Source organism: Homo sapiens, chromosome 11, assembly GCF_000001405.40.
Source record: "Homo sapiens chromosome 11, GRCh38.p14 Primary Assembly".
In the NCBI taxonomy this organism is placed as follows: Eukaryota; Metazoa; Chordata; class Mammalia; order Primates; family Hominidae; genus Homo; species Homo sapiens.
Window position 1 is genome coordinate 112,261,975 of NC_000011.10, and position 13,510 is coordinate 112,275,484.

Below are 13,510 nucleotides of genomic sequence, written 5' to 3' on the forward strand. Positions count from 1 at the left end.
TAAAGAATTAAAGGAAAGTATGAGATTGATTTTGGTGATTGTCTCACCAAGTAAAGAATAGTAATAAAGAGATTAAAATGATAAAAAGAGCCAAATAGAAATTCTGCAATGGAAAAGTACAATAACTACGATTTTAAAAAGTCACCAGAAGAACTCAACAGCATATTTGAACTGGTAGAAGAAAGTATTGGTGAACTTGAAGATGGGTCAATTGAATACATTTAACAAAACAAGTGCAAGACTTGTATACGGAAAACTATAACAATACACTCAGGATAGTCAAAATGATCTTGAAAACAAACAAACAAAACTCACAAAGTTTGAGGACTCACACTTCCCAATTTTAAAATTTACTGTGTAGCTACAGTAATCAAGACAGTGTGGTACTGACATAAGGATAGACATATACATCAATGAAATAGAATTGAGATTTCAGAAACATACCCACACATTTATTATTAACTGGGTTTTGACAAGGGTAACAAGACAACTCAATGGGGAAATAAATGGTGCTGGGTCAACTGAATATGCACATGCAAAAGAATAAAGTTGGAGCCCTACTCGTACCATATACAAAATTAACTCAAGGTGAACCAAGGGCCTACATGTAAAACTATAAAACTCTTAGGAAAAAACATAGGTATAAATCTTCATAACCTTGGTTTAAGCAACAGTTATTAGACATGATGCCTGAGGCAAAAATAAGTAAAGGAAAAATAGATAAATTGGACTTCAAAACTAAAAGCTTTTGTTCTTTGAAGGCCACTATCAAGAAAGTGAAAAGGGCTGGGCACGGTGACTTACGCCTGTAATCCCAGCACTTTGGGAGGCCAAGGAGGGTGGATCACCTGAGGTCAGGAGTTCGAGACCAGCCTGGCCAACATGATGAAACCTCGTCTCTACTAAAAATACAAAAATTAGCCAGGCGTGGTGGTGTGTGCCTGTAATCCCAGCTACTCAGGAGGCTGAGGCAGGAGAATTGCTTGAACCCGGGAGGCAGAGGTTACGGTGAACCAAGATTGCACCACTTTACTCCAGCCTGGGCAACAGAGTGAGACTCCATCTAAAAAAAAAAAAAAAGTGAAAAGATAATCTACATCATATATCTGAAAAGGGCCTAGTTTCTAGAATATATAAAGATTACAACTCAATAACAAAAAGACAAATATCCCAATTTAAAAATGAGCAAAGATTTGAATACTTTCTCCAAAGAAATGTACAAATGGCCAATAGACATGTGAAAAGATGCTCGACATTATTAGTTATTAGGAAAATGCAAATCAAAACTTGAATGAGATACCTCTTTACAGCTAGAATTACTACTGTCAAAATGACAGGTAATAATAAGAGTTGGCATGGATATGGAGAAGTTGAACCCTCATTCATTTCTGGTGGAAATATAAAATGAGGTAGCCACTTTGGAAAACGGTTTGGCATTTCCTCAGAAAGCTAAACATAGAGTTACTACTATATGGTCCAGGAACTCCACTCATAGGTATATACCCAGGAGAATTAAAAATGTATGTCCACACAAAAACTTGTACATGAATGTTTATAGGAGCATTATTCATAATAGCTAAAAAGTGGGAACAATCCAAGTGTCCATCAACTTATGAATGGATAAACAAAATGTGGTATGTTCTTACAATGGACTATTGTTTAGCTATAAAAATAAATCAAGTACCGATACATGCGACAACATGGATGAACCTTGAAATGACTGTGCTCAGTGAAAAAAGCCAGACACAAAAGACCACATATTGTATGCTTTCATTTCTATGAAATGAAATGAAATATCCAGAAGAAGCAAATCCACAGAGACAGAAATATGAAAATCCACAGAGACAGAAATGTGAAATATTGAAAAAATGAAATATCCAGAAGAAGCGAATCCACAGAGACAGAAAGTGATTGCCAGGGACTAGGGATGGTGCGGGGAATGGGAAATGACTATGACTGCTCATTGATTTGGGGTTTCTTTTGGAGATGATGGAAATGTTCTGGAAGTAGATAGTGGTGATGGTTTCACAACCTTGTGAATATACTAAAAACTACCAAATTGAATTTGATGGTATGTGAATTATATCTCAATAAAATTTTTATTTACATAATATGCTGTGTAGGCAAGTTGGGGTAGCAGAAAGAATGTGACAGAACTTTAGTATTGGGTCCTGTTCAGAGTCCTTGCTTTGGGAGAGTTTTTAAACTATCTGAGCTTTAGTCTCCACTTCTAAAATTAAGGCAGTAATATCAGTCTTACATACTTTTATGTATATTAAATGAAAAGTGTATGTAAGCTGTTTTGAACTGGGTCTGGTGGTGTGCCCCTATAGTCTCAGCTACTTGAGAGGCTGGGATAGGAGAATTACTTGAGCTTAGGAGTTTGAGTCTAGCCTGAGCAACATATTGAGACCCCCATCTCAAAAAAGAAAACAAAACAAACCCCAAAACCATTTTAGGGAACAGGGTGGGCCTGACATATAGTATAAATTTTTAACAAATGTTAATTAGTTTCCTACCTTCCTTCCTTTCTTCTTCCCTTTCCTAAATTTATACAGATTAGGATGGTAGAAAAGAAAATACAGGAGTTCTGCTATTGATATGGGGATGATGGTCTAATCTCCTTATGAACTGGGGGACATGGGATTGGGGGGATGGGAAACGACTCAGAAGGGAACACTCTGATTTATGTGGAATTGTTCCATGCATTTTCTGCAAGATAGAGCTCAGCCCAAGAGAGGGCCTGTGTGAGGACCCTGGCATGTCCTCTAGGGAGGGGGGCGTGTCTACTGGCCTATAGCCCTACTGGCTATGGGGACAGCTGTTCATAAAACAAAATTGTTCTTTGAATCAAGCTGGAAAGGACTTGATTTTTCTTGGGGACAGGAGACCAAAAGAAAACAAGTTTTAAAATAAAATACACATGTTTGGGGCCTCCTTGTATTTCTCCACCCCCTTTTCTACAATTCTGGACTGCAGTTCCTGGAAATTCACCCTTTCAAAAAGCCCCATCAGTGATTCTTGGATGGAGCTTTTAGAACATGCATGTGTGTTCAAGTCACTGGAAGCATCTTGCTAGTACAGTTTCCGATTCAGTGCATCTGATATGGGGTCTGAGATTCCTCATTTCTAACAGGCTCTTGGGTGATACAAGGAAGTTGCTGATCCATGGACCACACCTTGAATAGCAAGCGTTTAGCAGCTGGTTTGAGTAAACCAGGTTAGAGTTGAATGCCGGACTAATCGTTAAAGTTGGAAAAGCTAGGTTCCGTGACTGCCCTGTGCACCCCAAGCCTGCCCGTCTGCCTACAGCTTATATGCAGAGGCTCCTCATGCTGTAGAAAGTCTGGTGGGTGCTTCAATGCCTTGTTGGTCTCCCTGGGAAGGAGAGCTGTCAGAGAGTAGAAAGCAGTTGGCCTTCCAAGGTCAAAGTGTAATGGGAGATTCTCTGAGATTCACCAGACACGACCACTGATGGATGCAGGGATCACTAGTCTGAGGAGCCCTGGGGTTTTTGATGTGTCTCCTGGGCATGTCAGAGGTGTGACAGATGCAATATGGAGAACGTGAGAAAGGGCACAGATGTTAGAGTCCAAGAGGCCTCCATTGGAATCTTCCTCCTCACAGTGTAACCTTGGACTGTACTTAACCTACCTGAGCCTCAGTTTTCTTATCCATATTATGGAGAGACTCCGACCAACCTTGCAGGATTGTGTTAAGGTTTAAAAGAGGTAATGCATGTAACATGCATGCCACAGAGTCAACCCTCTAAGAGGAAGTTTTTACCACCGATGGCAAGTGTCTGTGTTAACTCGAGGGACAAGGGCGTCCAGGGAGCTGGGGGTAGCTGGAGAAGTTACTCTCATTTGTTGACCCACAATGGATGTTCAAGTCCACACATGTTGATTTATGAGCTAATTGGGTTGTGCCTCTGGCTCTTTGGTTCAGCATTGTGGGTGTTATGCTTTTGAATAGCCCAAAGTGAGAGTCCCCATGCTTTAGGGATAGCCCGTGGTCAGCTTTTGAGAAGATGCATACCATTCTTCTCATTCCCCGAGGACTTACAAATTCTCAGAGAGGGGGAACACGCTGCTATGTATTACATTAAGAATTTTCAAGCAGGACTGGCCCTAAGAGATAATTTTAATCTAACTCCCTTATTATGTCTGAGAAAACTGAGCACAGAAAAATTAAACAACTTGCCCCAGGCTTAAGAACTACTTAGTGACAAAGTCAGGGCCAGATCCCGGCCTCCTTCCCACCAGCTGGGGATTCTCTCCACTGGACAGCTTACTATCTAGGGAATACATGTGTGCTCTGCTTAGCATTTCAGATTCAGACATATTCCAGATACAGCACATGTTAATTTTAATATGCCGTGTGTATATTTTGTTGTACGTGTGGGACACGTGCCTCATCTACTTACATTTGATAGAACTTGGAGAGAAGTTTATCACAGCAATAGTTAGTTGCTCTATCTTTGCTCAAGACTTTTTGTTGATCATATTTGTGTCTTCGTTTAATCCAAAATTGCATGTTGAGAGCACAGCTGGATCTGCACTGTGCTTTACTTGTGTTGCCTCGTTGGCCTACCGTGGTCAGTGGACTGGGGTTGGCTGGTTGAGCTGCTCCAGGTCACATGGCCTTCTGGGAAAATAACCCCTGCTTTATAGCAATTATTGCCAAACTCCAGGCTGGCAATGATCTTGATCAACTGTTTACCTGTTTTCATGGAATGACAGAGATGAGGGCAAAATTATGACAGTTTTTATAAAGAAAGAAATGTTGATTTGGTTTAAAGCCTGCCTTTTATTTTGATGTTATAGCTTTCTGATGTTTTGTTGTTCTTTCTTTTATGAAACTATAGTCATTGTAGATTATAGATGGTAGATTTTCCCCTCCTTCACCTATTTATTTACTTATTTTTTTATGTTTGCCTCGCACTAATAAACTTCTATTTTGCTCAAATTAGAGCAGTAATCTTCCATACATAAGTATCTTCCCTGCCCAATAATTTAAAGAAAAAATCCAAAATGATTAGTAAAGAAAAATATAAGAATTAACCGTCCCTTTAAATTTGTTTTAAATATTTTTAAGGTTTAAAAAGGGTTTAAAGTTTGTAATTCCTAGTAGGAAAATATTATCTGAATGAATACCCTAATGGCAAACCATGGTAAATGCTTCAGCTGCATTTGGGGGAGAGGGATATGGATTATCTTCAAAGCACCCCTGAGGTACGCTGGTTTGTATTATTGCAACATCCATAAGGTGATCTAGGTTGCTTTTCCTTCAGCACGGTCTTTATCAGAAGGACATTACTCTTGACCTCCAAATTTGGCTGACAATTTACTGATAAGATTCATAACCTTTGGGTTGCCCTGGTATTGTGACATATTTGCTGGGTTTTGAGCCACATCCTGGAAGAGGCCACCATAACTTTGGGATCCTGCACGGCTGCAAGAACCTCTGGATCACTAAGAATTTCATTGAGTCCAGTTATTCCGGCCATCCCAGGCATGCCCCCTCTCATTCCAAGCATTCCCCCAGGAAGTCCATCTGGAAAAGAGCCATACTGAGCTACTGACTGTCGTCTGGCTTCTTCCTCCCTCTGGGCTCTCTCTTGCTCTTCTCGAGCCTTCTTAACTCTTTCTATTCTTTCTTTGATCTCTCGCTCTTCACGTTTTTGCTCATACTTTCTCTGATGTTCCGCAATGTCTGTGCCCTAGGCTGAACTTCTTTCAGCATTGCACTAGCATCTTCATCATAATCCAATTTACAGGCAAGGGCAAGATCATGGGCTGCTCCTTCCCAGTGGCCTAGAAGTCTGTGTGCTTTACCTCGCCACTTGTAAGGCTGAGCTGAAATAAATTTCAACGGCTCTGTCACAGTCTCGGATGGCAGCATTTGGCTTCTGTAATTTGATGAAGACACTGGCCCTCTTGGCATACAAAATGGCCAACTGAGGATTCAGCTTGATGGCATCTGTGAATAAGTCAATGGCTTTCTGCAGTTCACCATCATTTAGGGCTTCAATAGCAGCCACTTTCTTATGATTTGCCTGATCCATCATCTCCTCTGTTATCTCTGCATTTTCATCTCCCATTTCTTGAGGGGCATCAGGGTCTGGTTCAATCACATCTTCATTATCAATTAATAGATTACTTTCCTCACTTGATGGTTCGTCTGCCTTTAAGTCTTCCTCCACCTTCTTACTATCAGGTTTTTCTTCCTTGGTATTTTCTTCTGATTTAACTTTCTGAGTAGCAGGTGATAGTTTACCCCCCATGCTCTCCACCCACTCCCTCAGGAAGTGCATTTCCTTGGTGTGCAGAACGCTCAGATCCTGCTTACACATTTTCACAAAAGCCCGAAGTGCATTCACTTTGTGGGGGTCCATGGTCGGGAGGCGGTGGACGAAGCTGAGGGGCCGTGGCCCGGTTCCAGGCCTAGGCACTGGCTCAGTGTGACTGCGCAGAAGGGGGCACCTATTTATTTTTTAAATGTCCTTATTTAACAAAATGAAAACGTAGCACCTATCTAGGTGCCTAAAATCCAAAGTTTTGAAACCAGAGATCTAAAAAGATTTAGTTTGCATCGTAACTTCCAGAAATGCCTTGCATTACTGTGGCAAAAAGCAGGAATTGCTAGCATTTAAGTAGGAGTAGGGAGGTTACGTCTCAAGAAGGGTGTTCAAGGACCCCTTTCTCACTGAGTAGGAGGTCAGATCTTTTAAGCTTCTCTTCCCAACATTAGAATCAGTCATCCCCCCAAAATTGGACATTTATTTCAGTCACTTTTAGGGAGAGATCAGTGTTGAGGGCACTTAGTGGTAGAGTGAGAGCAGGGGTTGGTGGGTGAGAAAGTGAAACTGGACAAGAGAAGTTGGGACTCAGAGCTTCCCAGTCCCCAAACAGAAGAGGAACTGGGAAGGTATTTCCAGCTGCGGAAGAGGAAGGTTTGGACACTCTCTTTACATGGCTAGTGTGGCTTCTTCCTTTGAGAGGAAAGAATTCTCTGCTTGAGAGGAAACCCACTGCAGGAACCTGAAGAGAACTAAGCCCACCTAGGTCAGTAACTGGAAACAAGTGGCTCTTCCTCTGTCCTGCATAGCTACACTTAGAAATTTCATGGAAAGGTGTGACATTTTATCAAGACATTTGGCTGCATTGCTCCTGCTGTTTAACCAGAGGATTCAGCAGCAAACAAAATAAGACAAAACAAAACAAAAAAACCAGGACGGTTTAATGAGTGGGACATGAATTGGAACAGGCAGGATGAACTGTGGGTTCCTGTGGTGGTCTGACAAGGATGTGACGAGGACACCTTTCCAGGGGCAAAGTCAAGGCCATGTGCTCTCACAGGAAATTCCCTTCGGTTAAGTTCCTGAAGAGTGTATTGATTTTCTGATACCCTGCCTTATTCAGGTAGGACTTAAAGCAGCTTACAGGAAAACAAGATTTAAAATGTAAGAAGTTAAGGATATAGGGAAAAGAAAGGTAGAGCAGAATGATAAGAGAAAGGTGGGGTTTGTGATCGTGGGAATTTCCGTGCTGGCATCTCCGTGTTGGTTCTGTTGTTGCAGGTACTGGGAGGAGGAGATGAACCCTGCTCCTGTGGAGGCTATGAGGTATTGATGTCGTGTACACATCCAAGGGGTGGTCTAATTATTTACAACTAGGCTCCTGAAAATCAGCCCTGAATCCAGCTTTCTACCTTCTCTTTTCAATATCATTTAATTAATTGAGTCACAGAAACAGCCTTTAATTCATTTAATTCCCTTACATTCTTCTAACTTCTGCCATATATCTCGTGATCTGTGATTTTTCCTTTTGCACTGATTTGATACTATGTAGTAGCAACTAAATATCGTTACTTATACCATAGCAGCTAATCTTTCTTATCAACAAAAACAAATAATGTCCACATTCCTGAAAACAATTAGGCTCTATTTCTAGCCTTGTGAACAAATGCAATTTTGTCACTTACATAATTTGTTATTGATAGAGTAACTTCAGAATTATTTGTAGTACTGCTTCCTGAGACATATAAAATCATATTAATGATTTTTAATAGCAATCAATAATAACATTTATTAAATACCCACGGTGCTTCGAATCTTTCAGTTGGTCAGTCAGCATTTATGTTCTTAATATCACTCCCAAAGCGTCATATAAACAACTTCTTTTTTTTTTTTTTGAGAGGGAGTCTCACTCTGTCACCCAGGCTGCAGTGCAATGGCACAATCTCAGCTCACTGCAACCTCCGCCTCCTGGGTTCAAGCGATTCTCCTGCCTCAGCCTCCCGAGTAGGTGGGATTATAGGCACCTGCCACCACACCGGGCTAATTTTTGTATTTTTAGTAGAGACGGGTTTTCACCATGTTGGCCAGGCTCATCTCAAACTCCTGACCTCAGGTGATCCGCCCGCCTCAGCCTCCCAAAGTGCTGGGATTACAGGCGTGAGCCACTGCACCCAGCCCATAAAAACAACTTCTAACCTCAGGAAGCCTACACTCCAATGGGAAACCAAGGGTGACCCCAGACCAATTTATGCGACTGCTTTATTTCCTTATCCACAAAGTGGGGAGAATGACAGTGCCCATCTCATAAGGCTGTTGGGAACTTTTAACGACATAATACTTGTGGAGCGTGATGGCTGGCATAGAGAAAGCACTGGATAACTGCTTGTTTTCCTTCTTCTTGTTATGATTGGAGAGATTCCGCGGAGGTGGTGCCTGGGAGCTGGCCACACCTCCCCCAGAGGGAATTTCCGAGTTTCACAGGTTTCTCTCCCTTCTGAGCAACGGCAGGTGAGTCAGGGTCGCTTGTGCTCCCCTCCAGCTCTGGGATGTATGCTGTCCAGCTGGTTACGAGTCTCCATGGCATCCGAGGAAAAGTGGAGCTGGCTGAAGGGAGGTGGAAAAGAAGGGCAACAAATTCCAGTTTCTTGTGAAACTTTGTAAACGTAAGGCTCTTATCTCAGTCTGCAGAGCAGAAACAGGGTGAGGGCCATGGATCTGAATGTCTCCACCTGTGCATAAAACATATGATTAGAGCTGAAGACCTAGAAGTCCCTTCCCCAGGCAGGGCATGAACTCTTCTGTTTCTAGAACCATTTAGGGAGGTGACAACTTGGCTTCGTCCCAGAGATTCAGGTGAGGACAGAACAGAGGGCAGGGTGTTCTTGCCCTGAGTTCCCCGCTAATGAGCTAATCCTGGCCCTTCACCTTTGTTTGGCATGAAGTTTACCAGAAAAGGGCATCCTGCCTTTATCCTTGGTTCTCTATACCCTCGCTACTTTTCCTGTGTTTTGTAAACACGGGATGGTGTATTTAGCTTTCTTTTGCTGGAATTATTTTCACCCCATGTCCTGTGTCTTCCTTGTCCAGAAGAAATCATCTTCTAGCCTAAGAGCTCCAGAGAAGGGTGTGCAGGGGACGGCCATGTTCTGATGCATGCATTCAGCTGTGTCGAACAGTCTTCCTGTTTTGCTACTGTCTGAGAATATTCTTTTCATTCTGTGGGCTCCTGGGCCTGGGCTTTCCTTGGCTTATCTCAGGAATCTGCCTCTTGGTCCCTTTCATTGGCTGCCTTCTATGTTTAGGTTTGTAGGGGAAGGCCCCTGGAAGGTGGGTGGGAGAAGAGGCACCTCTCAGGAGAGGCTGAGGCGCAAAGATGCTCTTGTCCACTCAAGTCCATATTTATTTATCTTCTAATATACTTTGTTTGTTAGTTTGTATGCTTGTTTGTTTTGAGGGTCTCCTTCTGTTACCCAGCCTAGAGTGCAGTGGTGCCATCATGGCTCACTGCAACCTCAATCTCCGAGCTCAATTGATCCGCTTGCCTCAGCCTCCTGAGTAGCCAGGACTACAGGTGAATGCCACCATGCCTGGCTAATTTTTTTTTTTTTTTTTTGTAGAGGGTTTTTTCCTGTTGCCCAGGCTGGTCTCAAACTCCTGGTCCCAAGTGATCCGCCTGCCTTAGCCTCCCAAAATGCTGGGATCACAGATGTGAGCCACCCTGCCTGGCCTTCTAATATAATTTGGATATTCCATGGATATTCCCACCTTGATCTACATTAGGAACTTCCTGGAGGCTTGTGCTCAAGAGAGGTAGTATCTGCTTGCTCAGCAAGCAGAGGCTGAGTAAGTGCAGGACTCTGAATATGGTTGTGCAGCAGAGTTGTGGGTATTTGTGGGGACGTTGACCTCAGGCCCAGCATTTAGATTTAGCTAGCAGACATGCCTGGGCAGCTAAACTGGCAATGTCAGACCAAACTGCCTGGCCTGATATTGCCAGGCAGTTTAGCGTATCAGGGCTCTGCTTAGAAGCCACAATGCCAAGGCCTCATGACCATATTCTTCCACCCTTGAGAATCTTGTCCACCTTCATATCCCTCCATTCCTCACGCATCATGTCCTGGGTGGGTGCCCTGACACCTCATTCTCACCTCCATCTCCTTGCTCACTCATGTTTTCCAGGTTGTACTTGAGAGAGCCTAGGCCTTAGCGGTAGAGTTGGTTTCAAGTTGCTGCCCTCCCATCCCCTGGAATGTAACTGGCTTTCTGGGACTTAGTTTTTTTCATTTGTAATGCCTGCCTTGTAGTCCCATTGTGAAAATTAATCAATAATTTGTTTTGAGGGTCCAATATGTGGCAGGCATTGTGGTAAGCTTTAGGGCAGGGGCATAAAGACCAGTTAAGATTTCTCCTTTTTAAAACTTTTATTTTTTTGTAGAGATGGAGTCTTGCTATGTTGCCCAGGCTGATCTTGAACTCTTGGCCTCAAGTAATCCTCCTACCTGGGCCTCCCAAAGGAATTACAGAATGAGCCACCATGCCTGGCTTATCCCTCTTTTTGAATAGCTTTTGGTTAGTGTTAAGAGGCAGGTTCATAAACATAATTTCAAAATAATGCGTAAATGCTAAGATAGAGGTAAGCCTTAGGAGTACAAAAGAAGGGAAAGAATGCTTTTTGGGTAAATGGTGGATGAGCTGGTTTTCTTTCTCTTTCTTTCTTTCTTTCTTTCTTTCTTTCTTTCTTTCTTTCTTTCTTTCTTTCTTTCCTTCTTCCTTCCTTCCTTCCTTCCTTCCTTCCTTCCTTCCTTCCTTCCTTTCTTTCCTTCCTTCCTTCCTTCCCCCCTCTCTCTCTCTCTTTCTTTCTTTCTTCTCTCTCTCTCTCTCTGGAGTTCAGTGGCGTGAATCATAGTTCACTGCAGTCTTAAACTTCTGGCCTCAAGCAATCCTCCTGCCTCAGCCTCCCAAAGCACTGAGATTACAGGTGTGAGTCACTGCAGCCATCCTGGATGAACTGTTTTGAAGGATAGGGGTAGGTTGGGGTGAATGTTCCTGGAAGAGAGAAGTGTGGAATTACAAAACAGTGTGATGTGAGCAGGGAACAATGAAAAGGTAATGTTCAAGAAAAAGAGTGACAGATGCTGTTGCTGGCAAGTAAATAGGGGCCAAGTCATGCTAGGTCTTATAGGTCATGCTAAGCATTTTGAATTCTATCTGTAGGCAACAGAGTTTTATTTTTATTTGTTTATTATTTTTATTTTTTTCACCCGGAGGTGAAACAATTTTATTTCACAGTTGCCTTTAAAACCTCAAAGATACTATTTTCTTCATATAAAAATATTAGTACTGGGGGGAGAGGCCAAGATGGCCAACTAGAAACATCTGTGGTCAGAGGCTCCCACTGGGAGGAACCAAAATGGCAAGTGAATCCTGCACCAGCAACCAGGGTATCCAGGTTCTCTCACTGGGACTGACTAAGCAGTTGATGTGACCCATGAAGAGTGAAGAAAAGCCGGGTGGTGCGACGGCCCACCTGGGAGCCACACGGGGAAAGGGCAGCTCCCACCCCAAGCCAAGGGAGGTGGTTAGTGATCATGCTACCCTGCTAGAAAACCGTACTTTTTCCACGGATCTGCGCAACCCACAGATCAGGAGATCCCACTTTTGAGCTACACTACCAGGGCCTTGGGTCCCAAGCACAGAGCTGTGCAGATTCTCAGCAGCCACTTGACTGGAGACTGCCTAAGACCCCAGTCAAGTGGCTGCTGAGAATCTGCACAGCTCTGTTAAGTTAACTCTGCACAGCTTTGTTAACAGCTCTGTTCTGTTAACTCTGCTAAGAGTTTCCAGGGGGGTGGGGGCAGCCATTATCACTGCAGCTGCCTGCTGCCTAAGATGACTGAGCTCCCCTGAGTTGGGGTGGTGGCCATCATTGCAGCTCATGTCTGCCATTTTTCCCCTGGTGGTTTCATCTAAGCTCATAAGGGAAAGGAATGAGTGGAAGATGTAGGGGAGCTCACTCAGCAGTGGAAGTTTTAAGTGGCAGAGAGGGAAGGTTTGCGATGGAGAGAATAGTGAGAACGGGAGGAGGAGGTTGGAGGAATGTTCTGTGGAGGACAAATGGTGAGACGGGCTTTCTCTGAGGACAATGGTTGTGGTGTGACTAGACTGGCTGGTCCCAAGGGTCCAAAGGGAAGCCACTAGCCTATTAGGGCTGGGCTGGAGCGTACAGGTTCTGGATCTGTAGGTCAGAGGTGGGGGGGTCCAGGAACATGCATTTTTTTTTTTTTGAGATAAGGTTACACTCTATGGCTCAGGATGGAGTGCGGTGATGCAATCACAGCTCACTGCATCCTCGACCTCCCCGGATTCAGGTGATCCTCCTGCCTCAACCTCCCTATAGCTGGGACTATAGGCATGCACCACCACACCTGGCCAGTTTTTGTATTTTTTGTAGAGATGGGATTTCATCATGTTGCCCAGGCTGGTCTTGAACTCCTGGGCTTAACTGACCCACCTGCCTTGGCCTCCCAAAGTTCTGGGATTACAGGCATGAGCCACCACACCCAGCCAGGAACATGCATTTTTAATAAGCAACCTGTGACAGTGATGCAGATGCTGAAGGCCCCACAAGATGCTTATTTAAAATGCATTTTCCTGGACCCCACTCCAGATTTAGGAGCCATAACTTTTTGTGTCATTTTAACCAGCTCCAAGGTGATTCTTATGTGCCCTCGAGTTTGAGCTCCCTGGCTGGAAGTCTTCGTGGTCTTGGGCACATAGTGTTAGGTGGCATTCACTGAGGTAATGTAGGTACAACACCTAGTACAGGGTCTGTCTGGTCAATGACAGTTATAATGCACACTGGGACCCTTGGTGACATTGGTGGCTTACAGGAGGGTATGCAGGTCCAGTTCATTCCGGTAAGAGACTGATTATTAGCCGATGCACACAGCATCCAGAGGATGGGGGAAATATTTCTTCACTTTCTTGGAATATTTCTACTCCTTCTTGGTCACACCTCTGGGGGGCTGTCTTGCTCTGGTCTCCCTTCCTCTTACGCAGTCCTCTTCATCTTTCATATCTGCTGGCCTTTCTAGGTCCTACTGCAGTTCTGAAGGGGAGGATCATCCTGGGAGGTCCATGTGTGCCCAGGGAGCTCAGGCCCTTCAGTATCTTTGGTGTAGACCGTGAACAAGACACACAGCAATGACT

At 43.7% G+C, this 13,510-nt stretch overlaps 1 long non-coding RNA gene and 1 pseudogene across 1 annotated transcript in view; one reads left to right on the forward strand and one right to left on the reverse strand.

Annotated features, from left to right (window-relative positions):
• Positions 1 to 5,129: 5,129 nt before the first annotated feature.
• On the reverse strand, positions 5,130 to 6,483 carry ST13P10 (ST13, Hsp70 interacting protein pseudogene 10; annotated as a pseudogene).
• Positions 8,775 to 13,510, forward strand: part of LINC02762 (long intergenic non-protein coding RNA 2762) — a 91,786-nt gene continuing 87,050 nt past the window's right edge. The window contains exon 1 of the long non-coding RNA NR_126004.1: positions 8,775 to 8,809. This is a non-coding gene — a long non-coding RNA (long intergenic non-protein coding RNA 2762). The remainder of the gene's footprint in view (positions 8,810 to 13,510) is intronic.